Source organism: Homo sapiens, chromosome 15, assembly GCF_000001405.40.
Source record: "Homo sapiens chromosome 15, GRCh38.p14 Primary Assembly".
NCBI lineage: Eukaryota > Metazoa > Chordata > Mammalia > Primates > Hominidae > Homo > Homo sapiens.
Window position 1 is genome coordinate 53,641,907 of NC_000015.10, and position 26,944 is coordinate 53,668,850.

Here is a 26,944-nt window from a genome sequence, read left to right on the forward strand (position 1 = left end):
AAGGTAATGCTTTTCTTTCCTTCCATCTTTTTTTTCTGTTTCTTATATTTTGGCATTTGCTTAAGCTGTCAGAAAAAAATGTTAAATAATAGCAGAAATTGTAGATTACTGTAATTTTACTTGGTATGATTACTGTTGCTATTTTAAAAACTCATTTGATTCATATATTTTCTTGATGTTGAATAAGTTAAATGGTTTTTCTAGGTCCATTTATGTGAGTAACCACCCTTCTTTAATCCCTGTAATTCGAAGTTGATATATGCAGTAGTATTAAGTAAATGAAAGAAGAGTGACATTATAATAGCATAAACTAGTAATAATTGTATATTAGCATATAGTCCCAAATTGCTTCCCCATCAAAGATAAAACTAAAATAGTATGTATCAGAAGCTTAGTTAAAAATCTAACCAGGGTAGATCTTTATGTACTGATACTGAAAGATGTCTGCCAAATATTTTTGACTTGACAAAGCAACTTGCAGAATAGCTCTATAGTATCTCATTTCTATGTAAAAACAATATATACATGCACACACCAATGTGTACACATATGTTTTACTTCATATCTAGAAAGGGGCACATCAACAGCATCATAATAATAGAGCCTAACACAAGGGCTGTGTTTTGAAGGGTGAGAGAGGTTTCTTTATTATCCATAAATGTCAGGTTCCTCTCTGTACTGTCAAGCATTCACTTCCTAAAATTCAGCCTTAATCCATTAGTGATACATGAAAACTGATACTGCTATACAGTATTTTGGAAAGTCTTAAATTACAACATAAACCATACCTGAAAACTCAAGTTACTCTATATATTACTGGCATAATATCCAGGAAAAGAAAATGCTTTCAAATTTTGCCCCTTCAAATACATCAAGACATGCCATCTACTTTAACTGATTGAATACCCATAACCACATAAAAATTGCATGGGAAGTACAATGTAAATGCTATTTTCCTTATCTACCTGCTTGTCTCTGAGGGCTGTTTACCATTGGGATCCAACTTATTCTGGGAACTGTGTTACCTCCCTTAAAATACATATTTCCATTAGTGATGGAGAGTCCTATATTGGTTTACCTCTTCTTTGTCCTCTTTCCTAAAGCTAGTCATTTTCCTTATCTATAAGCTTCTCCTTTGCCACTGCCTTGTCCATTTGAAGATTCTAAAGTAGAAAATACCAGTTAGGAAAAAAAGCGAAAGAATTCTTCATAAATGTAATGATAAATTAATATGTATCCAGTGCTAAAATTATTTCATCCTATTTTTACCTTAGAACTATTTAGCCTAAATAATAGAACTGAAAACTGATACAGATATTGACTTAAGAATTCCTTGGTTTATGAAGATTTATGACATAAGGCATAATGACTGCCTAGTCTCCATTCCAGCAGCAAATTAATTAATTAGTCAGTTAATTAATGTTGTAATAACTGTTTGTTGAGAATACTTTTATTAAGGAAGTTAAACCATCACCCACAGTACACAGACACGCTATGAGGATTTTTTTTTCTGAAATGTCTCTCCTTCTGTCCTTGAAAAGATGGTAAAGCTTAATTCTCACCTAAAACGTTAAAGTCCCTAGTTGTTTTGAAGTCCAAAGCACCATGGTTTCTAAAACAGATGGGAGCTGGCTTGAGACATGTTCCTCATCAAACTTTCTTTGGGGCAACCAAATACAATGCTAAGAACCTGGCCACAATAAAAGCAGCTACTGAAGGAGAGCCTGAATCTGGTCTTTTCTAACTCCTCACACACCTAGGGCTAGTCTCAGAATAATCCCAGATATTGTTTGCTTAAGTTAAAAACTGAAACGTGCGTGTATGTATCTGTGTGTGTGCGTGTGTGTGTAGAAAGAGAAAGAAAATAACACACTTTTCAACAACTTACCATTTCCATGATCTAACCTAGAGTACCCTGTCACAAAAAAAAATGAAAGAAAATACATTTTCATAGAATCACAATATCATCTAATTTAATTTTACATATGCAAACAAAATGTACAAAAGACTATTTTATCCATGAAAAATGTGTACAGTAACATACATACTTTTTATACACTGAGCCCTCAGTTAGAAAATCCAAATCAAGTTTAAGTTTAGTGTTTAATTGTAAATGCCAAGCTAATATTGTTATCTATTGTAATTACTTCAGGAATAAATTTCTATTGTGATTTGATGAAAACAGTGTATCCATCAGCCTTGAAATCAAGTGATCCTTGAGTAAATTTAAATATTTGAGAGGGTATCCATATTTTAGATAAGCACAAACAAACGCAAACCAAAAACACAAACTACACCTCCCATATACGACCGGAAATGTGAAATAAGATTTATTTTACTGCATCTGTGCTTGCAATTAGGAAAGTCTCTGCTTTAGTCTATCTTTTCTTGGTGGTACATAGTTTTTCTTAAGATGTTTAAGGAAAAAAATCGAGACATTGAAGAGCTCGTTCATATTTCCCCATGGGAATTTTATCTTCATTGACAGAAACCAGTAACTATTTTTTAAAGGATTTTTTAAGCCGATTAACTAAATAAAAAATATTTACAAAGAGCTGTGCTCATACTGCACCAAATATATGTCAACATTTGTAACAAATAATTTAATTTTATAGGGAGCCATAAGCATATAGGTGTATACTAGTTATGAGAAGTATGTATCTTGCAAAGATATGAAAAATCTGGAAACCATTGGTGGAATAATAGGAACAAAAAGAATCCCAACAACGTGTAAATCGAACAGCAAGGTGTAAATGAAAGTGCCAACCATTCATTTTCAGATTCTCTGAGACCTAGGTTGCTGAAGATCGTTGTTGGCAGTAAAACTGTCTCCTTCCAACGGGTCGGGTGGAGAGCAGCATGATTGGCAGGGCAAATAGAAGACAAAGGAGAAAGCCTTCAATCTGCAGCTGATGCACAGGAAGAACATGGGGAGCTGAGCTTACAATAGAGACAACATTACCAAGCTAATGGCACGGGCAATCATGGGGCCACTACGCATCTTGGGTATCAGCAGGGCATCCATTTTCAGCTAAGTGTTAGAGTACCTTTTTGCTTTCTCTCACCACTGCAGGGGTAAAACAACTTAGTGCGTGAAACCCACTGACTGGTAATAAATTACTATATTGGATACTTTTTGTTTTCTTTCAGCAATGACTTTACTGTGTATTCTTGCTATCACTACCAATTAAAGTGGAGCCTGCTTTAGCGAACTGTATCTAACTATATATCAGCCCTGATGCTCCAATTGCTTTGGCAAGTATCACAGGGTCAAGAGGCTCCTTTGACCTTTATCATCTAAGTCTTTCTGACCACTCACTATTTGAAGCAATCTCAGCTGAACAGATGGACACTTTCTGTGACATTATAAAGCTTAGAATATAAAGATAAACGAAATTGTGTTTCAGGCTTCAAGCTGGTTTATGCCTGTAAAATATTATTAGTGTGTTTACAAAATCTCCAGATTTAAAGCGTATAATCTGACTCTGGCTAATGGACAAACTGCTCATTTCTTTTTTAATTATAGGTTTTGTGTTTTAAGTGTGAAGAATAGCAGAATTTTGTAAAGCAGTTCTCAGGGTTATCCAGTTACATTTTTAATGCATATATCAATAAACCGTTATAAAATGAAGGGTGTCATTTACTGTGCAATGAACCTTTTGCATGTTGGTTTTTAAAATGATGTACTAAGAAAGATATGCTAAACACAGAAAAACTAAAACTGTAAATGTTCGATGAAGTAAAAATTAAGATTTTTATTTGCCTTAAGCATGATTTTTCTCTTAAACTATATCATTTTAACTGCTAGGAGATTCTAGTATTTTTGCATATCTAAATATAAAAGGAAAATGATTAAGCATCAGCTTTATATTCTTTAACCCATTTGTGTTAGTATGTCATACATGGTTATTTGAATATTTTGAAATTGCTAGATTAACCTTAAGTAGGACATATATATTTTTTGCTAGTCTCCTTTAAATAAAGTGATCATATAATTTATTGTTCAAACCAGGCTACTTTTTAGAGTGAAATGGTGCATTATTAACAATTACCTTTAAACAAGAGGCATGAGCCAAAACTGTCCCAGGGAACCTGGATGTATGATGACCCTATCTTACAGGAATAAGGTGATGATGTGGCTTCTTAAAAAGCATCGATGTTTCTGTAACACTTAAAATGTGACTATTGTTCTGTAAATCATAACCATATCTCTGTATGTCTATTTTTTAATGACTGCAAAGAAATTAATTTTGCAGTCATTTTCTTTTACACTCTCAGATAGTTTATTTCTACTTCTCAAAAAACTTCTGATGTATACAACAAAGGAAAAACAACCAAAGTCCTAATTATAAAAATATTGCTGGATTGTTTGAAATTTTTATTTTTATATCTCGTGCTTATAAAACCCCCGTAACTCATATTCTCTTATCATATTTCCCAAATAATCTCTCAGCAATCAACTAAATTTCTGTGGTGCAGATTCAGTTGCAGGTAAGTGAGAAATAATACAAATAATGGATTTAGAGGTAAACAAACTGCTCATCATTTTTGAAAAACGTTGTAAGACCAAGGTAAAGGAGGGAGTGAGGGATAGAAAAAGAAAAGAAATAAGGTAAACAAAATTACCAAAGGCCAGTAGACTGTTTCAGGTCACCTTGTATTGAGGACTGGTTAACAAACAAGAGACAAAAGCTAGGGACCAATGTATTCTCCCCAACAAAAAGAACCACAACCACAAGTGTGTCTCCAGCTTCTGGAAAGGGATTGAAACCAAGTGCCAGCTTTAAACTTTCATGGTTTTATAAATAATTCTGAGAAATAAATGTACAACAAAATATCCTCTCTAGGAACTGAAATACTGAAATGATAGAAAACGTCAAATAAAAGCTCTGGGACAGTTAAAAAAAAATGGCAAGGAAAGTAAGGTATGGCCAAATAGGTGTAATAAAAAGGAAGTCTCATAACCAAAAATAAAAAAGGGAATAATTAAGGGTCTTTGTTGATAAATTACTGAAGTCAAAATATTCCCCCAAATTGTAGGGTATTGCCTGTACTAGAGACAATATACAAAGGATTATCCTTTCTTGGTACAATGCAAAGGTAAGGACACTATTAGTCCTATGGCAGAGACTCCAGTAGAAAGCTTAGTAAGTCTGACCAGATCTCAAGAATAAAATGTGAAAAATCAGAATTATTTTTGTGCACAAACAGATTAGAAAATCATATAACTCCATGTGAAAAATGGAAAAGATGTGTTCAATTGTTATGAAATCACAATAGTACAGAACATGAAATACTAACTCAGACACCAAATTCTGAATTATAGAAGAAACTAAAGGTATTTATATCCATTCATAAATTTTTAAAAAGTAAGATAAGCAAAGGACATTTGAAAGAGATTCATTACTTAAAAATAGCCTTTCCTATATTATTTTTGCCTTTAATAAACAATACTAATACTGTTTACAAAGAATTCAATAATAAAGATAATCAAAAGAAAATTAGATCATCCATAATTATAACACCTAAGGAGATCCTTAACTTCCTGAAGCAGGAATCTAAAGAGAAACCACACTTTTCCACAAAATTTCATATAATTTTATATAGAGCCCTACAAATTATCTGTGCAATCATTAGTATTTTTTTCCTCTCTCATGCTCCCTCTCCTCAGTCATCGGTATTTTTACCAAATGCTTACAGTTCTCCACCTTTTCCCAGCATACGGCTTCTGCTTCATTAGCTCTGTCTCTGTGTAACAATCAAGAGCAGAGACCCCTTCTGACCCCAGGTTGGTACATTGAGTGAATAAGAAATAATAAACTTGAGTTGTTTTAGCCAATGAGATTTGGGACATTGTTTGTTACTAGAACATAATATAGCCTATTCTGATCTAGATGTTTTCCAAATTGATATCAATATATACATGGACAGACAGGTGGAAACAAGAGAGGCCTGGTGACTGATTCAATGTCATATAGCCACTCATTTAATCAATGCAACTACTGAAATGCCAAAGTTGAAATTAAAACCCAGATTGACTACTCCTAGTCCAGTGCTCCTTCCACTACATGAAATGTGATTTCTCATGCTTACGTGCATTATACTTTCTCTGGAAACTACTAGAAGACACAGAAACAAATTCCCCCTAACTTCCCCACCTCTGACAGATGGCACGTCTGTTTGAATAGACACGTCATGATCCAATTTTGGTCTATTCTGCATCCTATAAAAATTCAATGTCACTAGTAGAATAAAAGTTCTCAATATCAAATCCAAAAAATTCATTAATAAGCCAAATTTTACGTAGCAGGAAAGATACTTGTCTCATGTGTTCTTTAAATAGCAATTATTTCCTTCCATTTGTTTTCACCTCTTTCTCTATATGTTTTTGTCAATTAAGATAACAAGTATGTGTTACTAAATTACTCTGTACTCACCCTCTGGAGATGAAAACTAATTAAAAGAGATGTGGTATGTACATGTAATTTTACTTACTCCAAACACCTTTGCTTCCCAAACTATGACACTGAAATCAGCAGTATCAAGTTGATGCTTTCTAAACATCATACTAACAAGCTTATAATTGGCCAAGAGGTCAGGAAAGGTATAGGTCTGAAGGAAAAACAACTTAGCCAGAACTGGCTCACCATTAAGTAGACCAAAGGACAAATTTTTTTTAAAATAGTGTTTCTCCTCTTTTGAGTGATTTGTATGTGTATTCACATAACGAATAACCAACCACAAACACTTATTTTGGGTATATATTTGTGTGGCCACCAGATATTTCAGTCAATTCAATTCAACACATACTTATTAAATTGAAATCAATACCCAGAGAGTATGCTCACTAAAAAAAAAGTATATAAAATTTATGAAATGTCTCAGAACATGAGTTCTTTCAAACAACCATACCACAATAACTTCTCACATGTCTAGCAACTGATTGACAAGATCAAGCTTGTAGACTACCTTAAAAAAGTAAGAAGCAGAAGAAACAAGACAAAAATCTCTGAAAACCCAAAAGAGAGCTTACAAACCAGGGCTCCCAAATTGAGCAAAACCAGTTATAATTTTCAGCAAATAGGGAGCTTTACAAGAAAATCTTTTAATGACAATAATAAAATATAGTTCTTTCCAGTGGAAAGCTACCACACTCCTCTTCTTGTGGCCTATTATAGTCAATTATAACACAATCTAATCACAGCACTGCCAATTGCAGAGGTCAAGAAACAATGACCTGTAGGCCAAATCCTGCCTACCACTTCTCTTTGCAAAGAAACTATTACTGGAACACAGAAACACTCATTTACTGATGCGTTGGCTATGGTTGGTTTTGCATTACCAACGCAGAGTTGAGTAGGTGTACCAGAGACTGTATGGCCCACAAAACCAAAAAATATTTGATAACTGATCCTTTAGAGAAAAACATTGCCAACCCCTGGCTTATTCTAAATTAATGGGAATTTTAATTGTATGCAAAATATTTTTTCTGGGCAAAAATGCAATATAAATATAAAGAAAGCAATTTTATGTGTTAAATCCCCTTAATTCAGTTGTTACACTTTAAAAGAGGACCCTATCTTAAGTCTGTATTGGTTGTTTTTGTTACTCATGAGATTTTCCACCACAAATATAAATTGCTCCCAAAAGTCCAAGTCCAAGAATTCTTACAACTCTATAGCAAAAAACCCTAATAATAAAAAAACCAAGCCAAGGGTTTGAATAGACATTTCTCCAAAAAAGATATACAAATGGTCAAGAAATATATGCAAAATGCTCAATATCATTAATTATCAAAGAAATGCAAATCAAAACCACAATGAGATACCACCCAATACCTTTCAGGATGGCTATTATTAAATGAAAACAAAAACAAAACAAACAAAAGTCAGGTGTTTGTGAGGATGTAGAGAAATTGGAATCCTAGCACACTGTGGGTAGAAATGCAATGGTGTAGCTGCTATGAAAAACAGCATGGAGGTTCCTCAAAAAATTAAAAATAGAACTACCATATGGTCCAGCAATCGACTTCTGGGTATTTATCCAAAAGAATTAAAATCAGGATCCTGAAGAAGTATTAGCATGTCTATGTTTATTGCAGCATCACAATAACCAAGATGTGGAAATAATCTAAAAGTTCATTAGCAGATGAATGGATAGAGAAATTTTGATATATACATACAATGGAATAACATTTAGCCTTTCAAGAAAGGAAATTTCTGCAATATGTGATAACATGATGAACCTTGCAGACATATGCTAAGTGAAATAAGCAGTCACAGAAAGACAAATATTGCCTGATTACACCAATATGCAATATCTGAAATAGTCAAATTCATAGAATCGAAGAGTGGAATTGTGCTTGCTAGGGGCTTAAGTTATTAATCAATGGGCATAAAGTTTCAGCCCAGTAAAATTAGTAAGCTATAGAGATCTGCTGTACAACACTGTACCTAGAGTCAGCAATAACGTACTATACACTTAAAAATTTGTTAAGAGGGCAGATGTCATGTTAAGTGTTCTTACCAAAATAAAATAAGAAGTTGAAGTCCAGGTTCAAAGACTTCCTCTTATTTTCTTCAGGGGTACAAGTCATAGTTAACCTTCCACTGTGTCTCACTTTATATTCCATCTCCAGTCATATCAACTTCTCATTAACCTCCTACTTCTTCCCCATCTTCATATTCTGGGCTTTTGGACCTGCTGTTCCTTATGGCAAAATCTTATTCATCCATCAAGATTTAGTCCTAATATGACTTCCTGCATACCACAGACAGGGTTAGCCTCACCATCTAAAGCGGTTCCTCCCACTGGCACTTTGGGATATAGGTCAACTAGAGCACATATGTCACACCATGGTTTTTGCCAACTTGATGTTAAAACAAACAACAAAACAAAACAAAACAAACACCAGCTAACAATTTCTTTCTCTTGCTTCAACTAAGCAATGGACTCCTCTTCCAGACACACTCTCTCCTCTAATTCAGTTTTTTTTTTTTTTTTTTTTTTTACATAGCAAACAAAACGACCTTTTCAAAACATAAATCAAATCATGTTACTCCTTTTGAGTAAAATCGTGAAAAGACTCCCTTTAATACTTGGAAGTCAAGCTTCTTACTTTGGATTATTACACCCAACATATTCTGTCCGTCCCTCACTTTTCAATATTGACTCTTAATGCTCCCTCCCCCATACTCCTCTTGAGTCACACTGGCCTTTTTGACTTCATTGTCTACATCAACCTCATTCCTACTTTAGGCCTTCTGTTGTAGCTGTTTGCTTTCCTTAGAATATTCTCCCCTCTGAAAGGCGGGAGAATCTCTGGTTCTTTCTTGCAATTCAAACAGTATAAATCCTACCTCCTTCTCTGATGTTCTCTGACCACCCAGGCTATCGTAAACCCCTAAGACTGTCTATCAAACTGCCCAACATTAATTCCCTGCAGAGCCTTTATCATTATCTGACAGTCTTGTTTTGTTTTGTTTACGATGTATCCACTCTCACTAGAAATGTAAGTGCCATGGGCACCATGATCTTGTATCAAGAAGAGTGCCTGGTACATAGTAGATGTTCAATGAATACTTGCTGAATGAATAAAGTATTCTGTTTTGCATTCCATGCTACAAAACTTACATAACATGCAGACACAGTAATTCTTTGTTTTCAAGGAGCTTTAGGCCTAACTGAGAAAATAAGACAAATAAATAGTGGCAAAATAATTAGGCAATCTATAGTTTTTGTTTGTTTGTTTGTTTGTTTGTTTTGAGACAGAATCTTGCTCTATTGCTCAGGCTGGAGTGCAGTGGCGAGATCTCAGCTCACTGCAACGCCTGCCTCCCAGGTTCAAGCAATTCTCCTGTCTCAGCCTCCCGAGTAGCTGGGACTAAAGGTGCGCGACACCATGCCGGCTAATTTTTTGTATTTTTAGTAGAGATGGTGTTTCACCATGTTGGTCAGGCTGGTCTCAAACTCCAGACCTCAGGTGATCTGCCCACCTCTGCCTCCCAAAATGCTGGGATTGCAGGAGTGAGCCACTGCGCCCAGTCCATAGTTAATTTATAAATTGTTTAATCACTTCTCGGCCTTCTGGCTAAGATCAAATGTAGCATCTGTTTTTATCAGTTTAATATAAATTGTTTAACTAGCATGTTCATGGTAAATTGTACATGCACATACTGTAGTCTAGGTAGGATATGACTAGGTAAAGAGAACATCTCTGGTACATGAGATTGGGCAGGAAGAAATGTGGAGAATAGAGTCACCAGAACCACCCATGTGGAAGAGCACTAGTGTACGAGAAATTATGGAAGAGCCTTGTCATGGGAATCTAAATGGGGTCTTCAGAGAAAAGGAAGAAGAACAAATCCTATGAAGCTCAGTTTCTCCTGGGGCTGCTAATCCAGTATGCCACCCTACCTTCCCACAATGAGCTACCTAAAAGCATTTAATGTCATACATGTTGAAACGTAATCAGCCCTCTCTTCTCCTCTGATGAGAGGGTGAGTTAAGCAATTTTCAAATGATGTACAAAAGCAGGAAGCAATGTTTGCTACTTGGGGGATACAGAATTGTACTAGTCTTTGCATCTGGGAAATGAAACATAAATCAGCCCTCTTCATATTTATTACACTTAAATTTCTGAAAGTTATTACAAACCTGTTGATTAGATTGTTGCTGGCTTCAGGGGTTTTGTATTGAGGGGAGGGCTTAGTAAAGTAATTATTTCAGGGAAGTAGAGGCTCCTGATATACAACGCAATCCTCAGGCTATTTTTGAGTGCTTATTTTAGACAACTTTGTTATTAGAAAAAGAAGTCTAAGATTTAAGGGCAAGTAAATGGGGTAATAATATGCACTGTGTTGGTATAATAAGCCATTTTAACCACATTGCCTCTTAATCTTCCTTTCTGAGTCTTTATCAGCTCTGTTCTATGCCCACCTTACCCAAAGTGAATCATTTCTCCCTAATATGCTGGGCATACTAAGTTTTATCACCACTATTTAATACACTTTTTCTTATAAACTTTTGTAATTGAGACTGGTGTCTAAATATCAGTGGAGGCTGCTGCTGTGTTTCAACAGCCTCTTTGCTATTATTGACTATTTTTTGCTAGGTCACTATCCTCTGTACAACCAAGTCACATGTAAACCTGATTTGGACTTAAAGCAATTGGGTGGCGAAATAAATACACTTTTTTTTCTGTCAGTCATTTATATTTTTTTCTCTTACAATTCAAAAAAGGAAGCATTCTTTACTTTCTTACCATCTATTCTTCATGTTTTAGACTTCAGTAGTTTTCAGTTCATGAGTTTATTCCACAAATATTTCTGAATGCCTTCCACGTGCCAGATATGCCAGGTGATGAGAATTTCATGATAAAGTTATAAAATAGGTTTATCATAACTGTAACTGTCCCCTTTGAACTTACACTGGAGTAGAGGGTAGAGAAGATACAAAATGAAATAAAAAGGATGCTGAGAAAGAGAGTAACAGAAAGTGGGCTGCTACCTGCATAATGGTAAACTGACATCGAAGTTAGACTTGAAGGTATAGAATTGAGGTGAAAATATTCTGGCAAAAGACTAACATCAGTGGAAATATGAGTTTCTTTAATGAGGCCAAATAGTTGGGGATTAAATATCTGGGTCATGGGACTGAACCTGTAGTTGACGTTTTTCATCTTTTTTAATGTATGATGTTTGATTTGGGTTTTTATCACAAGAATGAATGCAACTCAGATTAATAATAATGGAATGCTCATTCTTAGTTTCTTTTCTTTCTGTCATGCTTGTGGAAGCTGAAAATAATATTTCATAAACAGTTATGTGAGTTCAATAGACTGGAAATTATTATGGCTGAAGAATATGTGTAAACCTTACGGGACATCCCCTGCCCCACATGATAAGTGTCAAAATCAAATTTATAACTCCAAAGATACTCTTGCTAAGAAAATAATAGAGTTCCTAGTTTAGGAGATATAATATATTTTAAAATAATAGTACTAAATAGAAATTTGAATTTTATGAACATTCTGAAATATTAAAGAGGATATTTCCTAGGTTTTGATTATGCTTAAATATACCCAGTCTGGAAATCAACACAAAATTACCAGTGGATAGTAAAAATCAATTAGAGTTCTTTCCCAAGTATCACTCATAAACTACTGACAAAACCTGCTCTAATTCTCAAGTGAAGAAACTTTTAATTATAATATGATGTATGTGTTCATGCTGAATGAAATTCAGTATATCCTGAAAACAAGAATCAAAAGCAACCATACTAAATGATTTATCAAGAAGACATCAGGTAACCACAAGAGGGCTGCAAAAGATTTAAGAGATATGATGTATCATTCATACATAACGAGACTTTCGTAGATTATATTACTTAGTCCCATTATACTTCATGATTTGTCTGTGAATTAAATACCCATTTATTATACCCTTTATACAGATAGAGAAGTAAGGGCCCATATCCTTAGATTTTATTAATTAGTGAAAGATAAACAGATTTTGATAATTATTTCCTGTTACAAAACTGAAGTCTGATAAAATATAATAACTCAATGTTTTAAAATACAAGAACTTGGTCCTAGAATTAATGGACGTAGAACATTAGATGAAGGCAAAAAAACATCAAGTTGTGGCCCCATAGCTGGGCCTTTGCGGTAGGTGCACAAGAACAGTGAAGCAAACCATCATCTGAGGTACTGTGTGTTATATGGACACTTCCTCACCATGCAGCTCATTGAATTTTCTGTAACTAATCTCAGTAGCTATCTTGATTAAGATAGAAGGTAGACCATTTAAATCAGATGTATATTGAGGGCATAATTTGTCATGATTAATTGGATTATCATAAAAAGTGAAAATTTTGACAAAACACACTCAGAACTGTTAGTTTTCTGCTTCTATCTTACTAATTCCATCCTTGTTAACACCAGAAATTTAATTACTAAAAATATGCCTCAAGATATTTTAAGCTGATCGTTAGCATACATAAATGTTAAAGTCATAAAATAAAGATACGCTTAAGAGATCTTGGCCAGGTGCAGTGGCTCACGCCTGTAATCCCAGCATTTTGGGAGGCCGAGGCAGGTGGATCACCTGAGGTCAGGAGTTCAAGACAAGCTTGGCCAAAATGGTGAAACCCCATCACTACTAAAAATACAAAAATTAGCTGAGCGTGGTGGTGCACACCTGTAATCCCAACTACCCAGGAGACTGAGGCAGGAGAATCGCTGGAACCTGGGACGCAGAGGCTGCAATGAGCAAGGATCGCACCACTTCACTCCAGCCTGGGTGACAGAGCAAGATGCCATCTCAAAAAAAAAAAAAAAAAAAAAAAAAAAAAAGAGATCTTAAAGACAATTTGTTACCATCTATCAACCTGACTTTATAATTGATCTGGTTTAATAAAAGATAGGTCCTTGGTAATTAACAATTTTGGACTGACAATCATATAATAAAAACTTTGTGAAAGTTCAAGATTCAGGTATCCTCTTAGATTTGGGGAGATGTCAACTGTCAAATAATTTTCTCATTTGAGCCTCAAGATAATCACACATGAAGAGAAAGGACCCATACTATTCTTTCCATATTTTGCCATCTGATTACATGATGAATGTCATGCTATGGTTGTTGTAAAACAGAGATTGGCCTGAGAGACAAGAAAAAGGAAAACAAAACATCTGCTACCAGAGAATCAATGGAGAAGGCCACGTTTTATATAACGACAAGAGACCTCTAGTGGGAGCTCAGAAGAAAGTAATGAAGGTGAGCAGGACTTTGCATTTTGTAAGTTTTTTTTTTTGAGATGGAGTCTTGCTCTGTGGGCCAGGCTGTGGCACAAGCTTGGCTCACTGCAACTTCTGCCTCCCAGGTTCAAGCAATTCTCCTGCTTCAGCCTCCTGAGTAGCTGGGATTACAGGCATATGCCACCACGCCTGACTAATTTTTGTATTTTTAGTAGAGACGGGGTTTCACCATGTTGGTCAGGCTGGTCTTGAACTCCTGACCTTGTGATCCACCCACCTCGGCCTCCCAAAGTGCTGGGATTACAGGCGTGAGCCATGGTGCCCAGCTTTGTAAGCTTTCTTAATGGCTTTCTAAAAGTCATCAGGTTTTGGGCAATATGCGAAGACATAGAACAACTACAATTTTCAGTCCCATTTGATTGTGCATGGAGTTAAATATGTGCATAAGAAAGCCCCTGCTGCTCACAGCAGCTTGTTAGGATCATTTTTATATCTGACAGGAATAATCACACTTGAACCAAAAGATTATGCAGGATATTTTAATTTAGGATTAAAGCTGTTTGCAGAATTATATAAGCTATATAGTATGAAAAAAATTACAAATAAATAAACGTCATTTGGAGATGCAGAGAACTGGTGGTGCCTTCAGGGCATCACTATTAAAACAGAATTCAGAAAAATGGGCAAGAACGTTAGCTGGATGTATTTTTTTAATAAGTTCATGCTCTTAGTTCCAATAAATAAAGATAAAGTCTTAATACATTTTGTTTTTAATAGTATGGGGAAATATTCCATGAAAATAAATGCTTTCTTTTTTGAGAATTGCTTCCTGTTAGTTTTTTGCATTTGCTACTCTCTTAGGGCCAGTTTCAACATAAGTCATTGGTACAGAAGTAGTGCTCCTGTTGGGATTGCTTTAAATGGGTCCACATGGTACTCTCAGTCAATAAGTGGTATTACCAGCTTTCAACAAGAAAGATTTTATTCTCCTCCATTTCTTTCCAGTTATAAGCAACTAATAGTTTGAGTTAACATTTGAATTCTACAAACATCATTTTTTTCCAGAAAATACCATCCAGTGCATTAGTCATTAAAAAAACAGAATAGAAACACATTTTAAAGAGGTAACATTTATAATCATTTTAATCAGAACCAACAAGTTTGCTCAATAACAGAGCATCCAAATCCACTGGAGTGAATTTGGACCCCAATAAATAATAACCTCTTTAAGTAGGTGGGATAGGGTCATCTTTTGGGTACTACAAGAAGCAGGATCTTAACAAATTGTGAGAGGCTACATGTTTTTAAAAAGGAAAAACAGGCCTCGCATGGTGGCTCATGCCTGTAATCCCAGCACTTTGGGAGGCCAAGGCGGGCAGATCACAAGGTCAGGAGATCGAGACCATCCTGGCTAACACAGTGAAACCCCGTCTCTACTAAAAATACAAAAAATTAGCCGGTTGTGGTGGCATGCACTTGTAGTCCCAGCTACTCGGGAGGGTGAGGCAGGAGAATCACTTGAACCTGGGAGGCACAGACTGCAGTGAGCCGAGATCATGTCATTGCACTCCAGCCTGGGCAAAAGAGCGAGACTCCATCTCAAAAAAAAAAAAAAAAAAAAAAAAAAGAAAGAAGGAAAAAAGAAATAAGGAAGAAAAAAGTCTAAATAAGCTAAATAGTTTTGGATGCATAATATATGAGCATGATTACAGAATTCATAGGTTCTAAAATATCTATAAAATTATTAATGTAAATGAAGGCAAATGTAAAGATGTGCTTTAATAAATTATGCTAACACAGTCCCTAGATCAAGCTAAACACAAAATTAAAATGCCTAAAATGTTAAACTTTTCTCCACGTTCTATGTTAGAACTTCCCCCTTCAAATTAACTGATAACTACAAATGGAGTATTTAATCCAAGAAGAAAGTTATAATCTTAGATTTCTATGTCTCTTATAGGGTTAATGAAATATTGTAGGGGGAGAGAAACTGAAATAAATCTAAAGCTAAGTTTAGTACTAAATAAATGATATAAATATTTATTCACTGAAAAATCTTACTTTAGAAATAATGGAAGAGAGAACATTTTTTGAAACCAGCTAAACCCAAAGCAGAACCAACCTTTTCTCTGGTAGAAATCACGGTTGCCTATCAGCAATTATAAAAACAATAACGCCGACCTTGAATGAGCCTTAAAGGTCTTCGCTCACAATTATATTATCAGCTTTATGAATTTTCAGTTGCTATCTCAGCCATAAATTCAATAAATGCAGAGTTGATTAGTAATAGGAAGATAGCTATTTTAACAGCTGACTTCATTGAAAAAGGCATTTGAGAAAGTACACATTATACTGGCATTTTCCATGTTAAAAAATGCAGCTTTTTCAAATCCTGCTCAGTACACTTTAGATGAGGACTTATGTCCTCTCAGGAACAGCAATAAAAACTAAAAATCAAACTCAGCCAAAACTAGAAATGATTTAAATAAATTATATCTGTAGTCCTGGGAAAGCAATAGTCAGCTAAAAGGTTTTTATACCTGGAAATTTTTTTACATTTCAAGACTTTACCTTGGAGCATTTTTTTTCCTCATCTTAAATATATAACTTCACTTCCTCTCTGTATCTTGAACATAACAGCTCGCAATGGTAGAGAAACCCAATCAAAAAATAGCCCTGTGTGTAGTTATTGTAATTAACAGATTCAATATCTATTACAGCCAGTCAGGTATCATAGCAACCTTGTAGTGCTGAAAATTGCTTAGAAAATTCTTCAAAACCAGCAAGACTCTGCTTTAGGAAAACAACACTGGGGACATGACTGGCTGTCAACATCTGTGGGTGTTGCTATGGGCACAGCCACAAAGAACTCTGCCATCTATACAAAAAGGTATACACACAGAGAAGAGGGGAGGGACACGGAAGATAAACTGATAAGGAAAATCAAAAAGAAGAAATAATTGGGCTGGCAATATACAATAGGCACACAATTTTGTGTCCATGTTTTACACAAATTCTTTTCTATTGAAGCTAGAGAATCCAAATTAAACTTAACTGTAATTGTGACTAAACATGAGCCAGGGTTTGGAAATAATATCTGAAAACTCTCCATTTGTACCCTTTATCACAAGTCTTAATTTGAAACTTAAAGTGAATTACAGTTAAAATAATATTTAAACTTCCACTTATAAACCCTTAATAGTCGTTTATAAATCTACAGAAGAGAAAAGAACAGGTTACTATGAACAAGAACCCAATATTGATTTTTCAGCAGTGCAGTAAGGCATCTCCATTCTATTTGGCTGCTGTCAAAGCCACTCTTTAACAGCTGGAGTCAAATTGCACTATTTACAGCAAGAGCCCTTGTCAAGTGGACCATAAGTATCCTAACAATACACTATTCAAATGGCACTTTGCCACACAAATTGCTGACTTGATGAATAACCTATGTCAATGACTAAGGCCAATATAAAAGTTTCATTTTTATGAGAGGTTTTACATTCACACATTAAGTAAGCTTTCTTTGAAGAACTATTAGGCTATATATTTCAGGCCTGTGGACGCTGAAAATAATTAAAATCTGTTTAAATACATCGAGGGAACTTGACAACATTAATATGGATCCGGTGTTAACTACATTTGTCACACGAGTCAGAACAGAGTCCTTCCGTTGCTGGCACTCCCCACCGGCACGTGCTGCACAAAGCCAGACTTAAGCTAGCCTAGCACCATGAAATAGGAGCATTCTCCTTTTGTGCCTCTGATTTACATGGCCAACGAATGTTTAGATACAAGCCAGGCTTTGAAGTCCTGTGAGGAAATTCGGAGTTGCTTCTGGGTGCGAGGTGGACAGCTGGAGTCATTTAATGGTGCATTTTCTACTTTTCATAGTCACTCAGACCTTCTAAATTAGTTTTGAAACGAAGCTGTGACATGTTCCTCATAGTTTTCTTCATGATTGAGGTAATATTTTAAAAACAAAAAAAGTTTAAACTCATGCCACAAAATGAGAAAAGGGAAATTCTTCATAAGGCAGTTATAAAAAAAAAAAAGGATTAGATATTACAGAAATTTTTATTTAACTTACATTACATAAAATTATCTATAAAACTCTTATGGTAAACAGTTATACACTGTCAAAAACTTGCATCACTTTATGTGTTCAAAAAGCAAATGACTTTGTAGATTTCTCCCCTAACGTTTATTTCTTTATTCCATCTTCCTAGGCTGGGTATTATCATTTAGGTACTACAGTTTTAAGTTGAGATTCACCAAATCAAAATACTTAAAACAGAAATCTTAATCCAATGTTTACAGAGGAAAATGACTGTTCATCAAGTGTTTGAAATGTAAAATAAAAATCTATTTATTTTCTTTTAAAATTATAAAAAATTGATATAGAATATTTTCCACACTAGAAAAATAGTTCTATGCTGCTTATTTTATTAAAAAGAATAAATCAAAAATTTACTAATCAAAAAGGGAAAATTTTCATTCTATATGGATGATTTAGCCCTATATAATGCAATTTATTGTTTTAAAATAAATATTTGTTCTTTTTTTATAGTTATACAAGTTTAATATTAAAATAAAGATAGTTTAATAAAAACCATGGTAACATGTAGTATTGCCATGATGAATTATTATTTAATACTTTTACAAGTATATTTTCAGATGATATTTTCCAGTCTCACAATTTAGAAACTATACTAATTCTATTTTGGTTATTTTTTGTGTCATAAAATATAAAAGAACTAACTTTCATTCTCATAAGGTGATAGGTAGTAGTGGGATCAAATTTTCAATTGGTGGTCTACCAATACACCAGCTGTTTTTTACAAGAGGTATGAGAATAAAACTCTAATAAAAATTTTCAGCAAATGGTACCAGAGACACATCACCATAAGGTCAGCTAAAGGTTAAAAATATATATAACCATATGTCTAGAAAGCTCAACTAAAATGTAAATAATGCAGTGCAGTCTTTATTTATAATCAATTTTATATGCTTAGATAAAGATGCACATATAAGTGCGTTATTTAAAGAAAATTCCATTAAAAAAAATTCCAACTAAGTTGGGAGCCATTACTTACAAATTTGTTTCTCTACAAAGGGTGGTTTTCCAAACACATATGAGTTCCCGGTTTCTGTCACAGGTTAGACTTGATATAAGCTCTTTTGGATTACATTCCACACAGTGCAGAGGTTGGGATAAGTTGTTTCATGTAAAATACAGATATGGAGGGAAAAGGGAGGTGTTGACTATTTTGCCAATTTCTCCTCAGACCTCATGATCTCCAAGTCCAGTAGACTGTCTAGATCATAAATTGGGAAATGACAACCAGTGCATCACCTCTAGTCCACTGCCTGTTTTTGTAAATAATGTTTTTATTGGAATACAACCACCCTTGTTGAAGAATTGTCTATGGTCGCTTCTGTGCTCCTAAAGCAGAGTTGAGTACCCATAGCAGCAAAATTCTGGCCTGCAAAGCCAAAAATATGTACTATCTGGTCCTTTCTAAGCCTATTTTTTCTGTTGCTATAAAGGAATACCTGATGCTGAGTAATATATAAGGAAAAGAGTTTTATTTGGCTCCTGATTCTGCTGGCTGGAAGACAGGACATCTGGTGAAGGCCTCAGTCTTCTTCCACTCATGGCAGAAGGTGAACCAGAGCCATGTGTGCAGAGATCACATGGTGAAAAGGGAAACAAGAGAGACAGGAGAGGGAGGAGCTCTTATTAGCATCCAATGCTCCTGGAAACTGATAGAGCTCATGTACTCCCATCCTTACATTAATCTATTCAGGAAGGATATGCCCCATGACCTAAAGACCTCTCCTTAGGTCCCTTCTTCAACACTGAGGAACAAATTTCAACGTAAGGTTGGAGAGGTTAAATATCCAAATCATAGCAGGTCCTTTACAAAAAAGAAAAATACTTATCCCTGGTCTAGTTCATCATTGTCTAATACAAATAGAATGAAAACCACATCTGTAATTTTAAATTGCCTAGTAGATACATTAAAAAAAGGAGAAAGAAATGGGTGAGATTAATTTTAATAATATATTTCATTTAATTCTACATAACCAAAATAGAATTTAACATGTAGTACTAACCACATTTCAAATACTCAGTAGCTACAAATGTTTAATGGCTACCATTTTAGACAGTGAAGCTCTAGAAAAGCAAATCACAAGGAGCTGCTGGGGGACCTATTCTACAGAAAATCAGTTTTAAAGAAAAGACATTTCCAGGATACTACAATGGGCCCCAAATAATAATCCACTTTACCCTTTTATTCATTTTACAGACAAGAAATGCAGAAAAAGAATTTAAAAGCAACTAACCAACCAACAAACAAAATAGGTGTTTTTACCTTAAAATATCATGAAGCTACAAAGATTTCTGCAATATATAGATGATTTTAGGGTGGTTATTTATTCCCTACTTTGATGCTAAATTCCTTCCATTGCAATTTAAACAGGTTCTATCTTGTCTTATCCTTAGATAAATCTAAGAAAAGCAGTTCCCCATCATGAATATGATATTGTATTCCTTTAAATCCTTTATGACTCTGGCCTTCCTTTCCTATACCAGAGATATTGTTTGTCTAGCAGCACAAATTCAACTCCTCTAGCATTTCAAATTGGAATTATTTTCAAAATGTTTTGTTGTATTTGTTTTTCTCTTGCAAACTTTTCCCCAGATCTATATGCACTTGCTTCAAATACAACAATAAAAAAGAAATACAGCATTCTAATAAAGTCCTAATGTTGCCAAACACAAAAAGCTCCGCTGCTAGTCTCCTGTTTAAACAGTTCATTCTATTGTTGGAGAATATTTCACCTGTGTCTTACTAAAATCCACACACAAAAAAATCCTGAAATACAAAGTAACCTTTAACAGTTTTAAATTTCACAGGCATACTGTCCCTCATTTTTTCCACACATAAAATGAGTATGATTCAAACTTGGTTTCTTAAAATTAATTTTTTTCTTAAGAAAACTCATGAAGCATTTTACTGTATTAGTAACAAGGAGAATGGGAAACTTATAAGCACCCATAACATTTCACACTTATCAAATTTGTAAATTAAAGAAGACTAAGATAAAGCAACCTTGGCAGGTACAGTGGTTCACACCTCTCACACCAGAGACTCAGGAGGCTGAGGCAGGAGGATCACCTAAGGCAAGGAGTTTGAGACCAGCCTGGGCAACAAAATGAGATCTTGCCTGTAATAGAAAAACTTTTTAAATTTAGCCAGGTATGGTGTTGTGCACCTGTAGTCCCAAATACTTGGAAGGCTGAGCTGAGAGAACTGCTTGGGCCCAGGAGTTCAAATCTGTAGTGGGCTATGATCGTGCCACTGCACTGTGATTGTGCTGGAGTGCAGTGGCACGATCTCTAAAAATAAGACCCTGCCTCTAAAAATAAATAAATAAATAAATAAATAAAACAATCTCAACAGCCTAACTCTATCAGGATGAAATGCTAAGAGAAAAAGTGTATAATAGACATTGAAGATACCCAGAACATAAATTAAAAAGATATAACTTAGGAGAAGCACAAATAAATATTGTTCTAATTAGCACTAAATTCAATAATAAGAGAAGTATAGTATGTAGGACAAAGAAGGTGATAGTCCTGTCCAATTCAGTTTATGTCCGAATGTAAAGAATGAAAGTTTGAAATTGTAGTCATCTAAGGCAAGGGGCAAAAGCAAGAAAATAAAGTTGAAATCAGCCTATAAGTAGGAAAACAAGACTCTGGCATTTCATTGCTTCTTGAAGTCAAGGAATAAACAAAATTATATAAAGAAAATGAAATCTATATATATTATTACCACTACCTAAAGAGTAGCTATGAAGCTCTTCAAGAGAGTGAAATAAATATCAGTCAGTTTACCTTCTGGGAGTTAAATTAGTAAAAATGACACTTGATGAATGAGATTTGCTCCTGCAGACCCTAGACATCTGAAACGCATAGGTCAAGAGACATTCCCCCGGTTCTCAGCTAATACTCTGACATATAATTTCCACTATAAGATGCTAACTCTGTTATGAATAGTGAGCAACAAAGACACATCAAGATGGGGATGCTTGGCAGCTGGCTCAGCTCACTCACTGGGCTTTATTCACTATAGCCTTATGATACCTAAGACTGTCAGTGTGGTTCAATTTCCCACCTTATGTTCAGCTGTTAATGTTGAAGTTTCAATGCATCTCTATAACTGTCCTTAGAAAAATGACCTTTTCAAGTTAAGAATAGGAAAAATAGGTTTTAAAAACCTAAAGACAATGGATTAAATGAGAAAAGAAAAAAAGCTGTCACCTAATCACCGGTTTCAATATCTGAAGGAGGAAAGTACGAACAAAAGCAGGTGTTCTAAATGGAGTCTTAAGAAGAGAAATACAAAATTCAGAAATGTTTCCATGCATTATTAGCTTTGACCAAGGGAGATGGTACTCTGCTGGGCTGAAAGCATTGGCTACATTCAACTCTCAGAGCTCAGTGAATGAATATCCTCTGGGCTCTGACTCCATTTCCATCAAGGCACCCTGTATTACAATTTCCCCTGGCCTCAGATTTGCTACAGTGAGAATGTACCAAGCAATAACCAGAATGCCAATTAAAGAATTGTCATTCTAGTTTATATACTCATTTTTTAGGTATTTAGTTAGTGTGACTCAGTTCTCACAAGGTTGACAAATCCTAGACTCACGTGTGAAATCTAAATCAGTCCTCTAAACCTAAAAAGCTAAAGATTACATGCTAGCACCCCTGCCCCAACTCTACTGCTTTGAGGCATGGCTTTAATGGCCCATTGGCCTTTCTTGATGATGACACATTATTTTGCCTAACTATATACATACACCTGAGATAAAATAAGGTCTTATTCTAAGTCCTTATTAATAGTATATTACTAGCCTTCAAAATACCATTAAAATAACAGAAAAGATGAACAATATGTAATTAAAAATCAGCAAAACCTTGATTTAGCAATCCCACTTCCAAAAATATATCCTTTAAATAATCTACATGAAAAAAGCTTTAGGTTCATAGATGTGTTATTTTTAAAAGTGAAACATAAAAACCAAGCCATATATCAAGACATAGAGAAACAATTTATACCAGCAATGATAGACACACCACATAGAGCATAATGCAGCCATTAATAATAAAAGTTACATATTAATACCATGAAAATATGTTTATATGAAAAAATACATTTGATATGTACATATAAACGGCATAGTTACAACAGTATGTTGAGGGGATAATTTGGAGGTGAAAATACAAAAAGATGGAAAATAATCCCTTTAAGAAATCAGATTAAATTACTATATCATATTTAGAAGTAAAAAACAATAAAGCTAGTCCAAATTTCTGCTAAGCTGGTTGACTTGGTTTATGAGAATAAATGCCAACTCCATCACTGTGTATTCACTGAGGCTTGGAATCCTAGAGAGTTAGTGATCCTACAGATATTGGTTATATCAAAAGAATTATCCATACTGTGATCTAGTTTTTCTGATTTTTTTTTTGTTTATTTTCAATCAGCATTTTTAAGAGGTCAGATACTCTCAAGTGAAAAATAAAAATATATCCAAACTACAGAATATAAATGTTTTCCCTTCCTTATGTTAAATCACCTAGGATTCAAGGGTTAATATAAAATTGACTCAATTTTGATAAGCCAGAACCTATTTTGTCAAAAATCATGCCATAGTAAGTATAATAGTCACTCAAAAAGTTATACTGATTCACCCAAGATTACTTGGTAGATGCAGCAGTCTCTTAGTTCTTGTTTTCATGCTGATACTTAAGTGCCATGTATTTATGAATGCATATAACTTCTTATTCGGTTGATAATGTTCTTTGTGAACAACAGCTTGATTTGAACTTACCTTACATGAAGACTCCACCTGCAGACCAGGGCAAGGTAATGGCCCAAGCTGGTAGGGGCTGGAGGATCTCTGTTCTATACTTTTGTGCTTAAGTGTCTCTGAGGCAATGGGAAGTACAGACTTCACAAGCTGTGAATCATCACAACAATTAAGAATAATTCGTGCTCTTTCTCCTGTCTCATGTCTTTCCAAAGTGCCTGGAAAACAAGATTAGAGGTAAAAATGTCAGGAAAATATTTACCCCAACAGAATAAGACAGAACAAACACTCTTTAGCAGAAGAATCACAATCCTTTAAGTTATCGTGCCTTAGTATCTTGCAACTGAAAAATAGCCTGGGAGCTTTTCCTAAATTATTCAAAACACTTGCTCATAAAGTCTGAACTTATGGATTTGAAAAGTTCATCTTCCTCTTTGCGCTTCTTCATCCACTGAAATCAACAGGAGATTCGATAGTCTTTAATAGTAAAATCTCTTACTTATTATACAGTTGCAAGTGATCAATAACACATAACTATGGAATATTTTAGTGCTGTCCCCTAGTGTTCCAACTCACAAGCAACAGAGAACCCACAGTGCTTTGCCTGGGTTTCCAGGCTTGAAATGTTTCTATTGGTAACACATAATTTAAATGAATGGAGCAAGTAAGAACACGGATGCTTTGTGTACTGCCTCCCTCACCGAAGTGTCCCCACAGGGCTTTGCTGTTTTATTGTTGGTATTGTTGTGATTATATCCTTTGGCTTTTATTTCTTATGTTATTAGAAGGGGAAAAAAATCCTTTGCCTCTGTCATTCTTCCAGTTTCAGAATTTAGGAGTGCTGTCAAGTTCAACTTAAAGTTAAAAAAAAAGTATAAAATAGACCAAAAGTATCAGAAACCAATTCACAAATAATTCAATGCTTTTATAAAATACAATGCCATACACTCAGTGAAATATCAATAAATACGAATTAATCATGTTCTGTCTCTTATGAGTTCATTTGTATTATTCATACTATATTAAATATATAGGTTATCTCCTACTGAATAAAGACACCAAGGAATACTAATTTAATAAACAATACCTAAATACAGACTTCATTTCATATTCTTTTCCACCAATGAGAAAGAAGTAGATGTACTATTTATATTGTTAAGAAAATATCAACTTAATTACAATAAGAAAATAGAAATAATAATTGTAGGCCACTATGTCTTTAGATAAAAACATTGGTAGATACATTTGAAGATTATGACTATTCTATCCTTCCTCATTTCTCTCCCACTCTTCTATAGCCTTCTTTTATTACAACTAAACTACCATTAGCTGGCACTGTGGATTCTGAATCAGTAACAGTTACTGTGCTCAAATAACAGGCAAAACTTCAGTCTCGAGTCCCTTAACAATATACTTTTATTATAACATTTCTACATTCATAAATAAACATCCTTATCATACAAGCTTATAAACATGTTGTTCTTCTAAGCTTTCCTTTTCCACCAAGATTGATCTATCTGGCTGGGTGTGATGGCTCATGCCTGTAATCCCAGCACTTTTGGAGCCTGAGGTGGGCAGACTGCCTGAGTCCAGTAGTTTGAAACCAGCCTGGGCAACATGGTAAAACGCCATCTCTACAAAAAAACACAAAAATTAGCCAGGCATGGTGGCAAGCACCTACAGTCCCAGCTACTAGGTAGGGCTAAGGCAGGAGGATCTCTTGAGCCCAGAAGGTCAAGGCTACAGTGAGCCAGGATCACGCCACTGCACTCCAGCCTGGGTGACAGAACGAGACCCTGTCTCAAAAAAGAATAAACACAAAGTTCGTCACAATGGTATGCAACAGCTAGATATTCTGGGACTTTAATTTTTATAAATTAGGAAAAAAAATATTGATATATCTTCTGAAGGATACACCTCAGGGAGAAAAAAATGATTTATAGATCAACAAATGAAGCTGACAGCAACATCAAGAAAACCCTTCCTCTCAAGACTGACAATAGGAAAAGCTTCACAAACCAAAGATAAGAGTTATTACTGCTTCCTGAAAACTACTGCATTCCAGAACTTGGAACCGTGTTATGTGGTAAAATTCACTGTCTTTCTGAGAAGTCTCTCTTTGAATACGGTATCATCCTGGATATTTTCTTCTCACAGGTTCTCTGTGGCTCCTCAAACTATGATATTGTTTACATATTTTGAGAATTATTGGGAAAGAACTTATTGCATTTTAATACATTTGTTATGTGCCTTATGCAAAATGTATACATTTTATATATGCACGTTTTATTGTATACCTAATGTCTTACCCAAATACAACATTTCTTGTATTTTTTTAGTGATGAAAACAGTTTATCTACAAACTTAGGTAGTTGTAATCCATTTTCATTCATACACAGATAATTAATCTGTCTGAGCATCTACTATGCTACCATGTACCATCCACCATGCCAGATGATGACAATGTATAGTATTTAAGAATGACTCAGTCCAGGTCCCTGGGAGCTTCCTTAAAACCTAATGGTAGTGCAGAGGCAAGAAACATCTGAAAACTGATAAGCTGCAATATTTAAAGTAACACCTAAGCTATTTCCACCCAAAACTAACAATCTCTCATTCTAAAAATGTTAGACACTCGGTTTTGTGTACAAGGGTTTCTATCATGATTAGTTATAAAATAGTTTAAAAAATAATGAATATTTTGTTTTGAAGAACTGATTAAGGCATACACATGACATAAGGAGTGGTTAGAGTCAATCAATTTCTGTAAAAGATATAGACAGACAGATAAATAAACTACATGTTCAAAGCAGTAAGTTAATTTTGTAATAAATTCAGGATGGCAGCTTTTGAAAGACCTTGGTTAAAATTCTGACAGTGGATGGGTATTCCCACATGTGCTAGTTATCAATTTATTACCTCTTAGATTCAAATTCACCCTTCACTGCTTGCTTTGTGAAAATGAATTTGGGCTTGATAAATATTTTCTCATTCATCAGCTGGTGAAATGTTAACCTTTGTGGACAGAGCGTGCTGGAAACACCTAGTAGAAGAAAGGGTTAAGGCCAGGTATAATAGCTCATCCCATCCTAACTGTAATCTTAGCACTTTGGGAGGGCGAGACGGGTGGATCAGGTGAGTCCAGGAGTTCAAGACCAGCCTGGGCAACATTGGAGAAACTCCATCTTTACAAAAAAATACAAAAATTAGCCGGACATGGTGGCATGTGCTTGTAGTCACAGCTACTTGGGGGGCTGAGGTGGGAGGATCACTTGAGCCAGAAAGTCGAGGCTGCAGTGA

The 26,944-nt window shown here is 34.9% G+C and overlaps 1 protein-coding gene and 1 pseudogene across 8 annotated transcripts in view; one reads left to right on the top strand and one right to left on the bottom strand.

Annotated features, from left to right (window-relative positions):
* Nucleotides 1–26,944, bottom strand: part of WDR72 (WD repeat domain 72) — a 249,138-nt gene that overhangs the window by 128,166 nt on the left and 94,028 nt on the right. For all 8 annotated transcript variants that reach the window (NR_102334.2, XM_011521436.3, NM_182758.4 and 5 more), the window contains one exon: nucleotides 23,666–23,862. Coding sequence is in view for 7 of the 8 variants with exons in the window: in XM_011521436.3 (XP_011519738.1) it covers nucleotides 23,666–23,862 (197 nt within the window). In the remaining variant the exon portion in view is untranslated. The remainder of the gene's footprint in view (nucleotides 1–23,665; nucleotides 23,863–26,944) is intronic.
* RNU2-53P (RNA, U2 small nuclear 53, pseudogene) lies at nucleotides 10,071–10,217 on the top strand (annotated as a pseudogene).